The sequence below is a fragment of the Homo sapiens genome, chromosome 12, assembly GCF_000001405.40.
Source record: "Homo sapiens chromosome 12, GRCh38.p14 Primary Assembly".
Classification (NCBI taxonomy): Eukaryota; Metazoa; Chordata; class Mammalia; order Primates; family Hominidae; genus Homo; species Homo sapiens.
In genome coordinates, this window is record NC_000012.12 from 58,443,756 (window position 1) to 58,465,588 (window position 21,833).

The 21,833-nt window shown below is 38.3% G+C and overlaps 1 long non-coding RNA gene across 1 annotated transcript, besides 1 other annotated feature; it reads left to right on the top strand.

Annotated features, from left to right (window-relative positions):
• The first annotated feature begins 801 nt into the window (after positions 1–801).
• On the top strand, positions 802–20,171 carry LOC105369788 (uncharacterized). Its single transcript, XR_945006.2, has 4 exons — positions 802–874; positions 18,172–18,310; positions 18,453–18,809; positions 19,433–20,171. It is a non-coding gene; the product is annotated as an uncharacterized LOC105369788 (long non-coding RNA).
• Positions 18,247–19,446: an enhancer, noted in NCBI's record as "BRD4-independent group 4 enhancer chr12:58855785-58856984 (GRCh37/hg19 assembly coordinates)". NCBI's record gives its function as "activates an origin of replication core promoter dependent on BRD2, P300/CBP, MED14 and CDK7 cofactors, and independent of BRD4, by STARR-seq in HCT116 cells {active_cell/tissue: HCT116}" and the evidence as "EXISTENCE:reporter gene assay evidence [ECO:0000049][PMID:35650434]".
• Positions 20,172–21,833: the final 1,662 nt, after the last annotated feature.

A 21,833-nucleotide genomic window follows, 5' to 3' on the forward strand; every position in this document is an offset into this window, starting at 1 on the left:
GTGGACTGAAAAATGTGGCAGTTGGAGCCTCTTAATAAGCTATGTTCCTCACAGCAGGTTCTCCTAAAGGGAGATTTGAGTGAGACACACAGATAGTGTGTGGCTCTTTATTGAAAAAGTTTGCTAACCCTGCTCTAGATAGGAGTTAGTATTTATTCCACAAGGGACATGGTCATTTGTTATAAGTGAGCAAATTAATTGTCTGTTTTATAAAGCAATTTCCTATAATACTGCCTAGCAAGAATTATTTTCCTCGGACTCGACTTTGTCAGTTCTGCCTTAGATAAAGGTATGTTGTTGAGGGAGGCACAGGGTGGTGCTGGAAAGAACACTGAATGGCTGGAAGACCTGGGACCTTGTCCAGTACAGGCTGCTAAATATCTCCGTGGTCGCCATGTGTTACATCACCTCTCTGGACTTCAAGAGCCCTGTTTGTCAAACACGGGGTTTAGACTAGAGGACTGTTAATTCCTTTTAACCGCAACAAGAGTATCATACAGGACAGTACTAATCAACGGGTGGGCCTGAGCCAGCAGCTGGGGATTTGGTGGACTAAGTAGGAGAAAAATGACCCAGCGTAGATCAGAGATCTTCTCTAGCTGGTGTGCAAAAAACTGCGACAAGGAGAGACTTGTTCCAGTAACCCAAACTGTTCCCTTTTAATTACAGCATAAACATGAGTCTATTTATGTGGATGTTCAATGATACAATGACATGGCCTATCAAGTGGAAGCAACCAATAAAGCAGACAATGATGGTGCAGGCCAAGGAGCCTGTATGGTGCTCACAGGAGGGCCATTGTGCTGGGACATATAGAAGCAGCTTTTCTTCCTGCTTACAAGATCTACTCTGTCTTGTTGGAGGGGAAAATGAGGTGAACATTAGCTTATTACCTCTGTGTGTTATGTGTGTGTGTGTGTGTGTGTGTGTGTGTGTGTGTGTTTGTGTGTGTCTGTGTGGGTGAGTGGGAAGGGAGGAGTTAAACACCTAGACAGCTCCGGAAACATCCCTGTCTCTATGAAACCTGGACACTGAAGGTTTTATATGTGAGTAACATAGATTTTGTTTGTTTGAACTTCTAGTATAGCTCTGCGGTAACAAGATTAGTGTCAAAATCCTAGATATCCCCAGGAGGGAGGGGAAGGGTTCCTGGGAAAGGACAAGAGTCCTTCCAGTAATATTCCATGTACTTGCTGAACCTAGAAAACAAAACTACAGGATGCATATTTATGTAAGAATTTCAGATAAATAAAGAATAATTTTTTTAGTATAAGTATGTCCCATGCAATATTTGTGTTTTATTTGGTAACCCTATTGAATGAGAGCAATTTCCTCAAAAAGTTAATGAATAGAGTAGATTTTGGTGGAACATAAGAGTTACAAGAATCAGTGGACTCTAGAACAGGGGCACCAGGTCATTAAAATAATTGTTTTTAATTTTTGTGGTTATTGTATGGTCCTTTAAATACCTGTCTTTGCCATATTTTTCATCTTCCAGCAGCCAAATAGGGGATATATATTTTTTAAAAGTAAGAAATAAAGCTTTAACCTTACCCTTAGAATTATCAGTGTTTGTTTGCAGAACCTGCTAGAACTTTGAGTTTAGCTGTAATTACAGAACTGACCCAGACCATATCAGACATTGAGATAATTGAGTTTTTCAAGTCATAGTGAGAGGGAGATGGAAAGCTATATTGTGGCTGAGCTAAGAATCTATTCTATCATTTTATGGGGAAATAAGCTATGCTGGAAATATAAACACCTATTTTTGGACATTTTCTCAATCCTATTGAACTCACAAAATGTGAAACTTTTTAGTTGGTTCAAAGCAATGATGAAGAATTTTATCCCTAGACTGTCCTTTAGATAGCAAATAGACATAGAAAATATTGTCACTTAGAGGAGTTTGGGGTACTAGAATGTTCTTCTCTACTGTTAAAGAAGACCACTGTGAAAAAATTTTCAAAAAAACTTTCCCTCATGAGCAGTTTATAAACTTTCTTTTCCAACAGCTTTTTCTTTTATTGTTCATTGGAAGTGTGCTTATGCCAGCATAATTTTGACAAGTCTCAAAGTATTTGCTGCTATAATTGTAGAAGTCTTCCTTTAATAAAATGAAATTTGATTTTTATTTACCTGAAGTAGTAGAGAGTTGCTAGACTTAAAAAAAATCATTGTAAACACATTATCAAAAATAGACCAGTTTAACTGAATTTCATCACTTAATTTGCACAGATATTAACTAGGAAGTTAGTCTTCACAAGGTTAGAAGCTGCCAGCAGAGTTCCCAAACACTATGATATCTTTTGAGTCATTTAGCTCTTTTCCCTCATACTGTTTCTCCTTTTTATGCAATAATTCTTTTTTCAAGGCACACTTTTCATTTTCTAATTCCTCATCCCTTTATTGGCATGCCATTAAACTCATAATTGATCCATATTTTTCTTAACATGGGGAAATGTAATTTCTCATTTCTCATCATATGTTCCTTAAAAAATTTCATATTCTCAGCTCATCCTACCCTCTCCACAGCTTAAAATCTGCCTGGTATTCTTAGATTATGTTGAGGACATGTCCATTTTGTTGTGTTATTCTGCTGTGTTCCAGTCTGTTATGTGGTGTGTTTCAGTTATAGTTGCTGCATAGCAAACTACCCTAAAGCTGGTGGCATAAAACTGCACTATTTGTGTGTGCGTGTGTGTGTGTGTGTGTGTGTGTGCTGACTGATTCTGTGGATTACGAATTCATAGAGGAAGTAGTAGAGATGGGCTCGTCTCTTAGATGTCTGAGACTTAGCTTGGGAAAGCTCAAACAACTGAGTGTGGCTCTTTCCGGTAGCCCCATCAACTCCAAGCATGTGGCTCACATTTGTGTAATAGTACTGGTGCAACTGTATTGCCTATTGAATGCTAGTGTCAGTTGGCACCCACCGCATAATGGCTGTTAAATATTTTAATCTTCACCTCTAAGTATCAATTTGTCAAACTCTTGCCACATGTCCCTCTGCTGGGAACCCACTCTGCTTGCTCATTTGATGAAGCCCTTCTGTGTCCTTCAAGACTCAGCTCAAGCTCCTTCCTCAGGGTTCCTATACTACCCTTTGTTTCCTCTGTTACAGCACTGGCTGGACACATTGCATTGCAACAATTTTTTTATTTTTCTCCTTATGTTTTGAACTTCTTAAGTAGAGCTCCTTTTTTCTTGGTCGTCTCTGTACTGTGTGCCTGTCACATAGTAGTCTTCAAGGGATGATTGGGTTTTGAACATCAAGTAAGCTTCTCAATTAATTTTCTGCCCTTTGAAAATTGATTGTGCTTCTTGATAAATCAAACTGAGTTCAGTTTTTTCCTCTAATATCTGTGAACATTATAACATCTTTCTACATCAGAGAACAGATCATGAACTTATTTTTCTTTTTCTATTGCATATAATATTTAAAAATCCCTCCCCCATAAAAAATACAAACTATAAGCTCCATGAGGGCAAATATCCTTTTCCCAGAGTTCAGCATAGAGTGCAAAACTGTGCTCAATAAGTATTTATTAAATGTAATTATTCAGGCTAAATAACATTAAATATGCTATTGCTAATATTTATAGCAAGGCATATATGCAAAGTGTTTTATTTGCATTCTCTAATTTAATATTCTGAGTAAAATAATAGACACCTCCCATTATTTTCTTTAAAGAGGTTTTGTTATTTCAAACTGAGGCTTAGAGAGGTTAAGTAGGTTACCAACATCAGATGGCCAATGAGTAGTAGAGCCAGAATTTGGATCCAGATTACCCAGTGTCAGAAGCCGACATCTTAACCATCACATTTCAATACCACCTTAGGGAAAGGAATGTCAAAAAAATCTTGAAATCATTCTGGATTGTGGCCTTCTTAGTACCATTCATGGCATCTGTCTCTGCTTATTTACCCTGACTTCTAAATATTTTATCTGCAGGAATAAATTTGGTACGTTCAAGAAGTGACAAGAAGGCCAGTGTGGTTAGAGCATTGGGAAAAAGAAAAGAGACTAGTAGGAGATGGGGTTGGAGAGAAAAGTTGGGGCCAGAGCACACAGGGCTTTGAAGAAGTTTGGGTTTTATGTCAATGAAATTGAAGTCATTGGAGGGGTTTTGATTTGATCTAATTTAGTTTAAACACTTTGGCTGCTGTTGTAGATAATGCACTGAGAGGATGGGGTGGAGGCAATGGAGGCTTTTGTAGAAGTTGGAACTGAAAATTTCAACTACTGCAAAACAGGGAATTTAGACTTGTGTGGCCACAGCGGGCATGATGAAAAGTGGATGAATTTGGGATATTGTTGGAGGCAAGGGTCCTTAATAAATATTTATTGAATTAATGAGTATATAATAAGCATTAAACAATTAGCACAGTTATTGGTCCACAGCAAGTACCCACTAAGTGGTGGTTACTCTTACTGTCATCATCATTGTCTCTTCTACCTCCTGAGAGGTGAAATTACAGTATTAACACTCATAAATCATCAGCTTCCCACTCTGCACGTTATCCTCCATCCCTTCAGCTCTGTGTCTTACTCTACAGAGGCTACTCTCTTAAAGTGACCCCCAAGCTGTTGAATTCAGTGTAATTTTCTAATTTTTCATTCCCTGATGCCTGTCTGCCCCCTTTGACTTCCTACTCCTTGCAATGCCTTGACGCCTGAGATGATATACTCTCTTAACTCTTCCTGTACATCTCTTGGGGCTCCTTCGCTGTGGCTTCTTTTTCTCCTTTTGCCCTTTCAGTATAGAGGTTTCTGAAGAATCTGATCCTGAGACCCTCGTTCTAATAGGTCAGTTCCAGACGACCAAATCCTCATCTTATGACTATATTTTTAGCTTAGCCCTTCATTTCTGACATATCTTTTTCTTCCAAAGCCATGACTTAAAACTAGACGAGAGGTGAACTTTATCTGTGCCCCTAAGTCCTTCAGTTTCCTACCTAAGATTATAAAATATGTATCATTGGAAATCTTGGGCAGCACACAAAACATAATTTATCAGGAATGAGATTCTTATGGAGAACTAATTTTCTATTGAGGAAATTAAGAAGAGGTTTGAATTTGGGCTAAAATATCCATTTCTAAAATTAATCTTCATGTGCTCTTTTTTTTTTGCTAGCCTATATGATATTTATGTTTTACTTATTGAATAATTCATGTACCACTGACCAGCACAATAAAATATTTCACTTCAAGCATACATCTACATTTCTTAACTTAGCTCTCAATTGTAATTACTACACTCAATTTCTGTTTCTCGATGGAAAGAGGAATCCTACATAGAACTGAACACCAGCTAATGAACTCCATTAAACAGGGATGACTGAGTAGTGCTTACGGAGAAGATTTAAGTATAAATCGAATTTTCTTTCCTGAGTTTAAAGTTTCATAAACGATTAAATAGGCAAAAGTTTACTACAGAGTAGATAGCCTTTGGGGGTGGGATAATACCCTGCTGTCTTTTCTTCTTTCCTTTTTCTTAGTTCTTTAGGCTCAGGAGCGCTCTGGGATGCAGAAAGGAGAGAAAGACTCTTCCCTCCTGCTTGATTCTGACATATATCTGCTTTTTCAAACTATGTTTTTCTTCATCTAGGATGAGTTTAGGGAAGGGAGAAGAAAAAGGGCTGAAAAAGAAGTGGCTTCCTCATTCTCCAGTATCCTAGCACATGTTATTCCAGCACCATGGGAGAAAAAATTCTGCTGTGTTTAAGAAATCAGCAGATTCTCGGAGTATTTCTAAGAGCTTCATGGGAGACATATAATGCTGAACTGTGCTGAGAATAAGCAGGGATAAGGGAAGGTGTTTGCGGAGCGTACTCCTCAGATTTCTACTTTGGGCATAAGTTGCAGGGCCCAGGCTATGAGCCTTGCAGTGGGGGCCAGGCAGCTCTTGGATTTCTCTGTCAGTGTTGAGGCTTCACGAGGTAGCAGCCAAAAGAGGAGCATCCCACATAGACCTGAAGACATGTAAGGGACACTTAATAATGTTTGAGTAAATGAGAAAATGGCAAGAAAAGGCTCTTTTTACTTTGATTTTCAGAAACATCAAGGATGTCAAAGCTTACCAGTTCTGACTTGATTTGTATTACAGTCAATAACCTGAAAGTCGTTGAATTAAAAGAAACAAGACTGCTCTATTTCCTTCCATCTCACTGCCCTTTTTGACTAGATTTTCAGAATGTTCTCTTGTAAAAATTCCAAGCATACAGAGTTCTTTATAAAAACTAGCTCTTTTTATGAGAACAAGGAACTTTTTAATGTTGCTTGTTCGTTTTCATCCCGATTTCCTATTCCTATTTTACCCACTCTTCCATATGTGACCAAGTGCATGTTTGGTGTGATCCCTTTGCTTTTATATTTTGTAAAATGTGTGTCATATTTTGTGTGCATTATTTTTTAATTTACATTGTACTGCGACAGAGATCTTCTTCTTTCTACTAACATCATCTTTTTTTTCCTCTGTGCATAGTCTACTATGGGGTGCATCCATTTTATTTGATCTATCTACTCCTCAGTGTTGGACACTTGGATTGCCTTTGATATCCTGCTCCAAAAGTGGTGTTGTGGCAAACATCCTGGTACTTGTCCCTTTACAGAGGTGTACGATAATTTGGGGTAGCATATATATCCAGGATTAAAATTAATAGGTTAAAAGGGCAAAATTATACAGTTATTTTAATCAACTGCAGCCAATTCCTCACCAGAATGGCTTTCAAGTCTTCCTTCTCCCCAGCAGTGATGAGGGCTCCTCCATCCCTGTATTTCTGCCAGCACAGCATTATCCAGCTCTCTACTTTTTGCTTGTCCTATGGGTATAAAGTGATCTCCCATTATTGCTTTAATTTACATGTTTTTACTAATGCTTCTCTTTAGATATTGACTTTTCATGATGCATCTTCTGTAAATTAACTTTTCTTTGCCTATTCTCTATTGAGATTCCTGTCTTTTTCATGTTGATTGCTGGAGTCTCTTGTCAGTTTTAGATAATGCAAATATCTTTTCCAAATTTGTCATGACTCTGTTAACTTTGACCGTGACATCTTTTGTTGAGCAAAAATCTTTAATTTTTATAAAATCAAATTCATTTTTTGCCTTATATTTTATATCTCTGGGGTAAAGAGCTTTATTAAAGTAATATTTTTATGACAACATAATAGATGGAAAGATGTTTTTTGATAGTTTTATGTCAAACAACAAGCATCATTTCTACGGAGTTGAATATGAATCTCTTCTAATGGCTTTAGGCTTCTGCATTAGTATGAGTAGCTCTGCAGGTTTCTCTAGACCCAAGTGGAGAATGGGGTTTGTTTGTGGCATGCATACTAAAGAGCTTTTCACCTAAGGAAAGAAGGCCTTTTGAGGAAATAATCTTATTCCCAGGAAACTCTAGCTGTTTGGCTCACACTTTCCTGGCAAAGAAGCTTGGACCTGCCCAGGGCTGAAGGATTTAAATGTCATTGTGTCCTTCATTCAGCCTCCACTGAGTGACTTAATTTTTCTTATCAAGTACTGTTGAAGATAGATAATGAAAGAAATACTGTACTGTGAAAGCTCCCCTGGGGTTGTTCCAGGTCCATGGGACCCATGGGAGTGATTGCTAAGCATTTCTGAAGTTGCCTGTCCTCTCTGTGAGGAGCCTCCTTGTACAAAGTAATGTCCTGGGCTTTGGATGGCAGCCTGATGCTTCCTTTCTGTGACCCCGACTAAACATGTTTGTCTCTAATCTTTTGACTACTCTCTTTGCCTTCCTGGGGGGAGTGGCTAATCAATCAGTCTCTTAGGCATACAGTTTTCTTTTTTTTTTTTTGTCTTTTTATTTTTTAATTTTATTTCATATATATTTTTAATTTTAATTTAATTTTATTTTTCCATAAGTTATTGGGGTACAGGTGGTGTTTGGTTATGTAAGTTCTTTAGTGGTGATTTGTGAGATTTTGGTGCACCCATCACCCAAGCAGGATACATTCCATCATATTTGTAGTCTTTTATCCCTCATCTGCCTCCCACTCTTCCCTACAAGTCCCCAAAGCCCATTGTATCATTTTTATGCTTTTGTGTCCTCATAGCTTAGCTCCCACATATCAGTGAGAACATAACAATGTTTGGTTTTCCATTACTGAGTTACTTCACTTAGAACAGCAGTCTCCAATCTCATCCAGGTCTCTGCAAATGCTGTTAATTTATTCCTTTTTATGGCTGAGTAGTATTCCATCATATATATATCTAGAGATATATGATATATCTATCTAGAGATATATGATATATCTATCTAGATATATATGATATATCTATCTAGATATATATGATATATCTATCTAGATATATATGATATATCTATCTAGATATATATGATATATCTATCTAGATATATATGATATATCTAGATATATGATATCTATATCTATATCTATATATGATATATATATCTATCTCACAGTTTCTTTATCCACTCATTGATTAATGGGCATTTGGGTTGGTTCCATGATTTTGCAAATGTGAATTGTGCTGTTGTTTTTATTGCATTTGCTTTTGGGTTCTCAGTTACGAAATCCTTGCCTATTCCAATGTCTAGAAGGGTTTCTCCAGTGTTATCTTCTAGAATTTTTATAGTTTCAGGCCTTAGGTGTTTTTTTTTTTTAATTTCACTTTAAGTTCTGGGATACACGTGCAGATTGTACAGGTTTGTTACATAGGCATATATGTAGGCATACAGTTTCTATTGCTCATGTCACCTTCTTAGGTGCAGAGAGTGCACAGATTTCTAAGAGACAGCTGAGTCTTACAGATTTCCCGTCAAATCTTGAGGCCTGGTACTCTAGCATCTCTGATATCCTCTCTGTGATATTTGAATTTTCTCACTCTTAGAATCTGAACAGAATTTCTCAAGATTCTAAATTGTGACAAATGACTAGATACTTTAGGAATGTCTTCTTGGTTACCACTCGCAAGGGTATTCCTAACTCTCTGGCAAAGAGGCAAGTATCAGAAAAATATTGCTGTTACTGAGAGATGAGTGTGCCTAGAAGTAGAAACTACAGCATTCTGGCAGGGAAAGCAGATGTGACAATTTAATACATAGAAGGAGTGCAGAGAGATGGAGGTGTTATGTATGGTCTAGGAGAGGAAATTTAAAGAAGGGAGCAATGAACATTGAAGAAAATTATTTTATTACTGAAAGAAGAGTCTCAATTAAGAAAGTCTAGGTGGCACTGGCTGGTTTGGATTCCTCCAGGATTGAGTGAGCCCAAATCAATGGCTATTACAGGAATGCTCAGGCATGCAGCCTGTATCTCCTTCAAGGAGGCCATTCAGAGTCATGTTCCATCTCTGGAGAGTAGGGCTTAGGTCCAGCCATGGGTTGACCCACTGTTAGGTTCTTAAAGAAGCAGTGGGAGGAGGAGTTGATTGATTTGTGTTCTGAGGCATAGCAGAACTCACCCTCAGACCCCTCTGACCTATATGGTGGCAGTGGAGCTGAGGGGTAACCTTTGTCTAGTAACTGCATCTGTAGCAATCTATTATTTCAGAGTCAATTGACTCGATTGATTGAGATCACCAAACTCCTCAGCCTGGCATTTAAAGCGCTTTACAATTTGGCACTTCTTTTTCTTTTCATGCTTAATTCTCAGGATATGCCTCTATATACCCAACTTCAGTCACAATCATCCACTCACCATTTCCCAAATGTAGCCTTCAGTCAAGGGATGCTAAGCCATTGCTCAACCTGTTTTCTTTACTTAGAATGCCTTCTCATACTATGACTCCCAAAGTCCGACACATTCTTCATGTCTCAGCTGAAATCACCCTCCTTCCTCATAGATTCTCCCAGTAGAATTTAAGCTCCCCTTTCCATATTTGCAAAATCTTTTGAACATTTGTTATATAATGTATCATATTTTATCCTACAGTGAAATTATTTTATATATATAATATGTATGTTATATGTATATATTATATATACTTGTTTTCTTAAACAATTTGGAAGTCTCATTAAAAAAATGAAAACAATATAACCCTATTATACTTAGGTTAGTACTTTGGATATAGAGGTACTCAATAAAGCTTGTTGTATTCAACTCTGAAGTTGAGGCAAATCATAAATGTGATTGGATATTGAATATAGAAGATTGAATGGATTTTCAACATTTAAAATACCATCTGATCTTTTTTGGCATCTGGCACAACTTTCCATAAGTCTTCATTTCTTTTTGTTGGTTCTACTCTGCTTCCTCACCACAACTCTAGACCGTTAGCCCTTCCTCAGTCTCTGGGAAGGCCTGAAACATACCCTGCATGGATCCTGGTGGGGCTGTTGTGCTGGCAGCTGCCTGGCTCACCTCACCAGCCCTGGAGGGGCCCACACACCCTCCCCAGAGTGGCTCCTGGGAAGCCTGCACATTCTCCTGCCTTTTAGTGCTATTGGGCTTTTTCTTTTAAGATGATTCTTCTATGTCTATTCTCCTAATCAATGTACTCTAGAACACAGGAGTCAAGGTAGTATAACAGTTTAAAGTGTGGACTTTGGAGATCTGAGCTTGAATTCTAACTCTATTACCTACTAGGTATTATCTTGGGAAAGATGCTTAATATTATCAAAGCAACTCCCTCCCCTCCCCTCCCCTTCCCTCCCCTCCCCTTCCCTCCCCTTTCCTCCCCTTCCCTTCCATTCCCTCCCATTCCCTCCCCTTCCCTCCCCTTCCCTCCCCTTCCCTCCCCTTCCCTTCCCTTCCTTCCAGAAATGGGGTCTCTCTATGTTGCCTCGGCTGGTCTCTCAAACTTCTTGCCTCAAATGATCCTCTCACCTTGGCCTCCCAAAGTACTGGGATTATAGGCAGGAGTCACTGTCCCCAGCCAGTAAGTTTTTCAGTGGTGAAATAGAAATAATAACATATTAACTCATAGAGCTCTTGTGAAGATTAAATTATATAGATGCCAGCACTTAGCAGCTCCTAGCATGGGGTAATCAGATACTTTAACAAAATAGCGGTTGTGACTCTCATTCTTCATCTCTATTCCTACATATTTTGTTAAGAGTAATGTTTGGTACTCTTATTTGTATTATACTCTTTAAGTATAATTTACCTTATCCCTCTGCAATGTCCCCAGTCAGAGATACTTAGTATATATTTACAAGATAAAGGCAACACCATCTTCTGGGTGATCTCCATCTTTCTTCTTTCTTTTCTCAATATTGCTATTTTTTGAGGCCGCTTATTTATATTTTCATGTAGAAATGAATGTCCTTGCTGTGGAGCTATTTCTTCAATTTTACACTAACTTTTATGGAGATACATATATACTATTATTGTCTTCTCTAGTACAAAAGCAGAGATATAAACTAGACATCAAGAACATCCTGTTCCCAAAGCACACCAGAACAAACCAGAAAATCACAAACCTGTAGCAAACTTGGGTTAGTAAAAACAAGACTTCATACTTCAATTTTCTTTGTATTTAAAAACCTTCACAAATGTTAAGTTAGTAAGTCTCATAGCAGCTCTTTCAGATAAGCCCTTAGGTAAATGTTTTCTCTTGCAATTTTTGAATCTGAGTCAATACTGGAGACTAGCTGGCCAGCCTGTTGTCTGGCCACTGAATTATGCAACTCATCTCCAAATGAAGCCTGAAGTGATGCAGGAGGTAATCAATAGAAGGGCTTGATCGATGTTCAATAGAGGAAAGAAAGTCTAATGAACAAAATACAGGACTGGGAGCACAGCCAGGCCTGAATTCCAATCTTCTCCTGGCCTTGTAAGCAGAAGACTAACTTGGTAATTTCATTCCTGGAGTATATTCCTATAACTGCATCCTTCTCTCCATGGATCCTGCTCTGCTCTGAGCCTCTTGATCAAATGGGCAAATGGTTGAAGAGGTCACGAGAAAAAGACATGCAGCAGCAGCAGAAGCGACATGAGCCTGTGTTTTTCATCATTGTTTATCCCTGATGCCAGAGCATGTTTATGTGTGTGTGTGTGTGTGTGTGTGTGTGCATGTAGATACATACTCATGTGCATTCCTCTTCCTTGCTCTTTCTGCTTACTGACTCTGTCTCTGACCTCTATACTGTGACATTCATTCAGTCAGTGTCTATTTACTGAGCTCCACTCTCTGTGGGGAACTGTGGAGTTCCAGGGACTCAGTCATGGACAATACAAAAGAGGATCTTGCTCTCAATTCTTAAAGATCCATTAGACAAGAAAATTTGGCTTTGTTTTATTTTACTTTTTACTGTTTCATTATGAACACTTTCAAGCATGCAATAAATGGAGGAAATAGTAAGGCAAACCCCAATGTGCAAGTATCTACTACCCAACTTCAAAAATTATCAATGATCTTGTTTTATATTGGCCTTTATCTACTTGCCCATCCCTCACTACATGCACATACACTTGATGATTGTGAAGCAACTCCCAGCCTTCATGCCATTGCGGCAGGACAGTTTTGATTTCCTCAGATGGAGTCTGAAGAGAGAACTCCCATCTTGCCAATGCTCCTGTAAGACATGGCAAATGACTGCTGAGAGGACCTCAGTCACACCAGTCCCCTAGAAGAGCTCACTTACTCGTAACGCTTTTGTTTCCAGAGAGCTCCACGCTGTAAAAAATGATGGGAGCAGAAAGGCAATGGAGCTGGGTTTGGTGTGGAGTAGAACAGGGTGAATGAGTACCCTGGCCTATCATGCATCTGCCCGAGGAGACATCTTTGTATGGCCAGTTGTCTGTGGCTCTCAAACTCCTCCCAACACCGTCTAAGGCCCCTTGAGCCCAAACTTAACTAAAAGTCTTGAGTGCATCTTGATCTGAATTCTGGGCCATTGCCGGTTGTGAGCTTTTTTGTTTCTCTGTCACTGAAGGCTTGATGTTTGACCTGGGGGCCAGATTAGCAGGGAGGGATCTTGAGAAATGAGTAATAGATTAATAGTAGTAGTAATAATTATAATAATAATTAAAAAAACAAAAAGCTATTGAGTTTACTATGTGCAGTTGTATCAAATGAGTGTGCAGGTACCCATTTGATACAATTCTATGAGGTAGTAGTATTATTATCTCCATTTTATAGATGTAGAAACCATAGATAACTTGACCAAGGTCACAGGCAGTGAGAGGCGAGCTGGAATACAAACCCAGGCAGCCTAGTTGCAGAGCCCACCCTCTTAACCACTATGCTATATATCATATATTACATATTATATATTATAGTTTTTCTGGAGTCTCATGAGCCTTAGGGTCACTAGCCTTAGGGAGAAAAGACTCTGACAAGTATAAGGTAAGGCAAAGATGAATGAGAGAAAGTGATATAAAAAAATGAAAAATCTGGCAGAGTGTGGTGTCTCACGCCTGTAATCCTAGCACTTTGGGAGCCCAAGGCTGGAGGATCGCTTGAGCTTAGGAGTTTGAGACCAGCCTAGGCAACATGTGAGACCTCATTTCTATTTTTAAATACAAACAAAGAAAAAATAAAAATAGTAGGATCTACTTGTAACAAATGTACCATACTAATGTAAGATGTTAATAATGGAGACAAGTGTGTAGGGGAGTAGAGGACATACAGGAACTTCATTCTTTCTGTGCAATTTTCTTGCAAACCTTAAACTGCAAAATAAAAACTTTTAAAAAATAAAGACTTCCTAAGATGATACTGAGTGATAAGCTGGGACAATTTGACATAGCATGGCTGAAAACAGAGGCTAGAAAAACTGTCATGTTTAGTTATGATCGAGGAGGTTCCTAGGAAACCTGACTACTTATCACTTATAGTAAGTTGTGAAGATCAAATGAGATTCATAAATGGAAAAACAGTTCTGGAAAAGCATTTATGTTTCTGCTGATTTATATTGCCTTTCCTGTGAGCAGCTGGGACCACAGGTGCACACCACCATGCCCTGCTAATTTAATTTTTTTTTTGTAGGGACAGGGTCTCACTATGTTTCCCAGGCTAGTCTTGGCCTCAAGCAATCCTCCTGCCTTAGCCTTCCAAAGTTCTGGGATTACAGGTCTGAGCCACTGCACCTGGTCCCGTATTTTTGTTACCATCCTTATCCTGAGAGGATCAGGATACACCAGAACTTTGCCCAAAGTATCTCTGCCCCGGAGTGACTCTAAGAAAATATCTGTTCATTCTCATCATAGTCAATATTTGCATCTACTATTATCAGGGTTGGGGGGCACAGTGAGTGTGCATCTGGGTTAGTGTGTGAATAGTGCAGATTTCCAATCAGGTCCCCTCCACACACATTTTTGTGAGTGTGACTAGGTGAGTATGACTAGGTAGTCATGTGCTTCATAATTATTGACTTATACATTCCATGTTTCTTATAAAGAACATGGCTTATTGGGTAATAACTTCTGCTTCTGGTTTTTCCTTGGGGCTAATAGAATTAAGAACTGAGATATCTGAATTAGAGTGCTGTGAATAGTAACCCGGTTATTTTCCAAAGAAGCTATATGCTAATTTTGTTTATCTCCATGACCCAAGAGGAGGTCATGAATGACCTCAAGCAGTTACATCATGGTTTTCACTTTGTTAAATAGTTCACCTTTTATGAGTAGATTATAAAACCACAGGGCAGAGCTTTGACATCTTCATTCAGTTTTATAGCTCTGTGTAGTCAGTGCTTAATAAATAATAGGGGCAATACTGCTAAATTGATAAAAATAGATCTTACTGCACATAGAGCATTTGGGAACCATGAGGATTAAGCCACAGTCTATTCTGTGTATTGTAATTCAATCATACTTTAGAAGGTTTAGCTGTGGGAAATTGCTAGAACTACAAGATCAAGTCACCCCTTTTGCTTTTACCAGTTTTGAGGAATGTATAAAATAAGAATAAAAACAAGGGAAAATTAAGCTCACATGTTTGCTAAACAAACAAACAAACAAACAAGCAAACAAAAAAACCCAAGGGTGTAATTTAAAAAAAACTATGATGTTTGAGAGTATACAAATTTTGAGAATTGTTTCCAGGTGCTACAAGTGAGATTAAAAGCTATTTCTAGGCATTAACTCACATTCAAGATGTCTGGGTATGCACTCATCAGTGTGTGAATATGCAGTTGCTTCTTCATGAAAATCTGGAATATTCTGGAGTATATCTCGTCAGTGCTCTGTTTCTCACCAAGGGGCCAACGCTTCTTTAAAAATCTAAATATACGTCCTAGAAATGCAGATTATCCACCCATGGCTTCTCCCCAAATGATAGTTGAGATCACTTGGCCTCTGTCCTCTTCTATCCTCTTTGCTTTCAATCTGTGAATTTTACTTTGCTACCTACTCAAAACAGAACTCCATCTAGGTGCTCTGAGACATCTAGTCATGGCTGCAGTTCCTGGCTTTACCTCCACCTGCCTCCCCTTTCTTTCTTGTCATTGCTGCAGTTACAGATTTTACATTTTCTTAGACCCTTCATGTGTCTTTGTTCAGCATGTGTCTTTTAATGGAAAATCCAATTTTTATCAGTGGCTGTTACACTCTCTGGCCATTTCAAATATATAGGTTACATTTGCACATTTGCATGTGACTTTGATGTCATATAAATAAAAATAAGCAAAAAAAAAAAATTAAACTCACACACAGACACACAAAATTAGGCAATACCAGGAAGTCTCCAGAAGATGGGTGTGCAGCTGCTTCTCTTGCCCTATGACTCCTCAGCTGTATCTGGCTCAGTAATGTGAATACTTATTTATAAACTAATCAAGGCATAAGATCCCACTTTTGCTTTAGAAAGTATTATTTTTTCCAATATAAACATATATGGGACCTGAATGAGTGATTTTGGATGTTTGGCTATTTCAAAGAATAGAGGAAAGAAAAGAGGGACATTCATCTTTATTCTAAGTCAGGATACTCTAAATGAAGAAAGCTTTTTTACTGGAGGAATTTTGGCTTGAAAAGATGGGGAAATCTTATGTCTAAGCTCTTTATTCCTCCCAATTCTTTTCTAGCCTTTGCAAATGCTTGTGCAATTTTATTTATTAATGAACTTGGATTTAAGGCTATAAGCATCCTTTAATAACATGGAAATAAACTATCACATTCCATGCTGATATTATTTCCCCAATTTTTTCTTTCCTTTAATGAAACTTTCCAAGCTATCTATTTCATACACTAATATTTGCAGATAACTGCTTTACGTTGCAATGTATTGAGTCATTTTGTTCCATGCCTCTCATTCTATTATCTTGATTTTAGTCCCAGCATTCTCTTTCTGCAGAGATCCAGTTTATTGATCACAACTTCTGCCAAGGTCATTTACTCCTAGAAGTTCAAATGGGCACCAGCACCAGACTGAAGACTTTTATCTTGACTCCTGAACTAACACACCATATATTTTTTCCCATTACATCTACAGCAAGCATGTGCTGCCTTTTTAAAAAATATTTTGTTTTGCTCTTTATCTTATTGCTGGAGAAATTCCAACATGTTTCTTAAGTCTTCTGATCAATTTATGAGAATTATTTCCTTTTCCTCTCCTCTCCACATGATGCATGCACTCATCTCAATTCTTATAACCATATCCAGTCATTTATTTTCATTTTATGACTACACGTCCAGTAATGTCAGGTAGAAAAATTTTATAAGAGCTTGTTTTTCTAATTTCACATGAGCCCCTGAAGATTCAAGTTTATTTTTAACTCTTCAGAACATAAAATTTCCCTGTTTATGTTGAGAGCAAACAGGTTTTGAACAGTGGTTTAAATTTTTTTTTTCCAAATCAGAAATAGTTGAAATCCACTTCAAAATGAAAACAAGGTGGTTTTCCATTGTCCCAACTCTTTGTGCTTTTGTCCTTAACAATATTTTAGGCTACAAATGGTATCAAACATGTCTTTGAACACTCCCACTCCAATCTCAAATCAACTATGTTTAGTACCACATCATTACATTTTACAGTCAATACCACCATTACAGACTTGATTAAATGAACTCCACTGGGTTCTATAACATTAATTATAGCTGCACAACTCCTGCAGCCATCAGAGAACATTCATTATGTATGACTCCATCCACAGAAGGAGAAATTGCTGACTATTTGGGTGATGTCTTTTCAGAGGAGATCTGTAGTGACTGTTGATCTCCACAAATATAACTTATTTGAGGAAGACTCTAAAAATGTAAAACTTTGTAGGGTTATTTTATCCCTCAAAGATGAGACAGCAAAAGCAGCATGTTCTAATGCTAGTGAGCTCAATTTAGGTTTTGCATCCTACTTCAACTTGGCCCAATTCTACGATAAACAGGGTTCCCCCCAACAATTAACCATTATTCGATAAATGTTTATTAAACAGCAATTACATTCCTACTTTGCAACATAAAAGATGCAAAGATAATGTCTCGATCTCAGTTTATATAGGCAACAATATCAACTGTGTGTAAAAATTATAAGGTTTATATGTATCTGATGAAGCAAAAAAGTGTAGGCCCAGGAATAAGAAAGTTTACTTAAAGTCTAATGTTATCTTTTGCCTTCTGTTACTTCCCATATAGGAATAGTTCATGTTTACATCCACTTCTGGGTGGGTTCATGGAACAAGTGGCCTGGATGTCCAAGACCACCTGGACTCCACAATAGTCATCCCCACATGATTAGCTAATTCCTCCTCCCTGATTTGAGTTTTTCTGCTTGTAGAAATAGTCTCAAATAGAAGAGACACTAGAAGCAAATAAATTAGTTAAAAAGAATCAATACATTATGAAGAAAAGAAATACAGTTATCCCTCAGTATCCATGGGAGATGGGTTCCAGGACCTCTGTGGATACCAAAATCTGTGATGCTCAAATTCCTTACGTAAACTGGTATAGTGGTTGCATATAACCTGAACATCTTCCTGTATACTTTAAATCATCTATGGGTTATATGTAATGCCTAATACGATGTAAATGCTGTATAAATAGCTGTTGCACTATATTATTTAGGGAATAATGACAAGGAAAAAAGTCTGTACATGTTTGGTATAGATGAAACTATGCTGGGCCCAGCTCCATTACACTCTGTGGTTTGTTGAATCTGCAGATGTGGAACCTGCAGATATGGAACCTGCAGATATGGAGGGCTGACTGTATGTAGTTAGAAAACAGTTAATTTAAAACATATTTGTGTTCGCACAGTTATTTATACCTGGATTCTGTAGGTGTGTTTCTTGGTTTACTCAACAGTGCATCCTCACTGGGGGTTTATAATCTCCCTCCAACTAAGGACACCTGGAACCAGAGAGTTGCTCCTCCTTTTGATTCTTCACATCTTTGATGCCATCCTCTTCTCTCCTGAACAAGATGTCCTCTTCTTGAATCAAAGGTGGCCTCTCTTCACTGACTATGAGAGCTTAGACTCTGAATTTACTTAATGGATTCTTAACTGCAAAAATGCCGTTACTACTACAAACATTATTTATCTTTTACTATAGTAATTATTATTTTTCTTTTAATCTTCTTTCTAGATGTAATGCCAAAATTCTGACTCTATGCGGGAGATCATTTTGTTTTCATGAGAAGAAAGCAAAACATTTTCCTCTTCTTTCTGTAGGAGAAGCCATATTTATATAAGTCATGATTTTAAAAGACTTATGGTTTCCAAACCCAAGCAGGCACTATCTCTCTATTTTTTACCTGAACAATCTTCTGACATGCCAAGAAATTGACTGCACTGGGCTGCAGCTCTTGTCTTCAGGCCAGCAGAAAAACATTAACACTTTCCTGCTTGTCATACAAGGATCACACTAACTCATAGAACTGACTTCTAGTGCTGATGGCAACTTGAGCCACAACATTCAAGGAGTTCAAGGAAGAATTTATAGGTAAGATGAAAAGAGCTGTTTCCTCTTTTCAATATGCTGGCCAAAGGGCAAAGGCAGTGCCCTCTACTCATCTCAGGCTCAGTTGAACAAGTCACAAAGAAGAGTTTCAGACACACTCTACTTTTGCCCCTCATTTAGGCATACGACTTTTATATGACTTTTTCCCCAAAGATATTTCTCTCTTTCTTTCTTTCTTTTTTTTTTTTTTTTTTTTGAGACAGAGTCTTGCTCTGTCACCCCAGCTGGAGTGCAGTGGCGTGATCTCTACTCGCTGCAAGCTCCGCCTCCCGGGTTCATGCCATTCTCCTGCCTCAGCCTCCCCAGTAGCTGGGACTACAGGCGACTGCCACCACACCCGGCTAATTTTTTGTATATTTAGTAGAGACGGGGTTTCACCGTGTCAGACAGGATGGTCTCGATCTCCTGACCTCGTGATCCGCCCTCCTCGGCCTCCCAAAGTTCTGGGATTACAGGCGTGAGCCACCACACCTGGCCAGATATTTCTTACACATTAAACACAAAGCTATTTTAAACAAATGTGTCAGAAAAGTCAGTCTCTTCAAAGGAGAACATCTGCTTATTCTGCATTTTTCCCAACTGCAAAGTCTATCATCTCTCTGCAGCCTCACTGTGAAGAGCTCTTTAGAAGTGCCCTTTCTAGAACGAACTTCTGGTGAGTCATCATCAATACCTCATCCTTGTGTCAGACCTCATCAGGTGTACTTGTCAATGGAAAATGTTCCTAAGCCAGTACTTCAAGGAGAGTGTGCATCTACCTTCTGAGATTTACTGAATTACAGCGACCACAAATATCCCTCGAGTCAAGTGGGCTAGAGGGTCTGAAATACAGGCAGGTATACCTGCAGCAGGGCAGCACAATGGATCCAGATCCTACTGACAATCAGGGCTGCTTCCGTGGACTTTTGCAGAAGGTCTTTTTATTCAAGAATGTGCCTTCCTTTAGTGACGTCTAATTATATGTGAATTTAGTCAAGAAAAATGGCAACCGTATTATAATAAGCTAGAAAGTCTTTAGGCCTAGTGTTTTTCAAATTTTCCTGGTAAGAAGCTTATTAGGGGGAGCCCATTAAGAATACAGAATTCCAAGCCAAACCTGAGATCCACTGAATCAGAATCTACAAGAGTTAGATAATTGGTATTTTTTATTGAAAGTCTCAAGTAAGTCTTGAGTTCAAGCAAGAATAAGAAATACTGTTTAAGCCAATAAGGAGGAAGTCCAATAAGAATACATCAGTCCAAGGTCCCCTTAGCCCAGCATTCAAGGTCTGACAGTAGCCTACTATCTATCTGCACTTATCTGAAAGGGAAAGGCAGTTGTGGTATAATAGAATGAGCATTGGAGTCAGAGCCATACCTCAAAAATTCAGTCTCTGAGTTTATCTAGTTTGTGACTTGGAATAAATTACTTAAACCCACTGAATTTTCATTTTGTTGTCTATATTATGATAATAATAATTCTTACCTCAAACTATTGTTTTGAGAATTGAATTTTATAACATTAAAGCAATATTTATTAAGTACTTAGTATCCATCAAATTCTATGCTAGGTGCTCTTTCTTCTGGTATCTTATGTGCCAAATTCATCATAGTCATTCAATAATTATGGATGGAATAAATGAAATATAATAGTTGAATAAACAGTAGTCAGTATAAGCTGCATAAAAATAACATTAAGCTATCATATGACACTTTATGGTATTTAAAATAGTTCTGCTTCATTAAAACTATATTTTAAAGTGTTTATGGTAGAAAAGAAAGTTTGATGGAGGGGATGATTGTGAGGTCTGTTGGTGTAGAATGGTGCCTTCATTCTTGCACTGTGTCAATGCACACAAGAAATCATCATTTACGAATAGGCCAGTCAGTGCTGGCCTAGCTTCTGAGCACAGAGAACAAACCCTCACAAGGATACAGGGTAACCTGATCAGGGAACAACAGGAGAAAGAATTCCCCTGTGGGGTATTTTACAAGTGAAGTGTTTTATTTCATTCCAGGTACAACATATTAAGAGTTACTCTACAGACTAGAGGATGATGAGGATGTAATTCATTAACAAATGGTACTACTAAATGGTACTACTGGACTGGCTCTTTGAAAGTACAGAGTTTTTATTGCATTTTATTTATTTTCCCAAAATGCTTAATACTCAGTTACCTCAAGAAACTCAAGGTCAGTGAGGGAGAAAAGCAGGTAAGCAGACAATTACAATGCCGTGCCATTCTCTACATTGTCCTCTCAACAAAGGAACTCTGTCCCTCCCCGCAGGATGGAGAAGTCCTGCTTTGGTTGGTCAGGTCTGGGGGACAATGTTTCCTAAGCAACAGAGCTTTAAGATATAGGTAGAGCCCCATGAATTCTTTATCTTCTTCTTCTGCCCAAGCAAGCAGACACAACAGTAAACTAGGAAATTGACCAAGGGCAGATCAACCCATTATTTCTTTCTTTGGACACTGTCTTTTCCCCATGTGCTGCCAGGCTGCAGACATTAATCAGTCTTGGACTCAGCTCAGCATGGAACTTTGGAGGCAAATTTGCTATCTTTTTATGTGCCTTGTTCCTTGGCACTGGTGGGTGGGTGTTGAACAGACACTTCCTTTCCCACTAGTGTTCACATCCAAGGTAGAGAATCTAGTGGAGTAGACCTTATGGCCCACTTTAGTTTGAAGTTATTCAGGCATAATTAGCCTAGAAAAAGGAGTTTTGTATTTGGTCTAATCTATTTAAGTTATTCATTGGAGTTTAGAGCCAAAGTATTAAAGAGGTCTGTAGAAGGAGGAAAGCACAGGGAAGGGGTACCCAGTCCTAGCTCGTAGGCAAGGAAGAAGCCATAGGGGAAGACTTCAAGAAGAGAAGCAACCAGCCAAGCAAAGAAGCTCCTCAGGATGTTCATGAAAAGTGAGCACCATGTGCCAACCCTCGGAGGTGTCATAGAAAACTTAAAGAATTGTGTCTAAAGTGAGGAATTTAGAAAGAACACTCCAAATGAAATATTTGGATGAAATG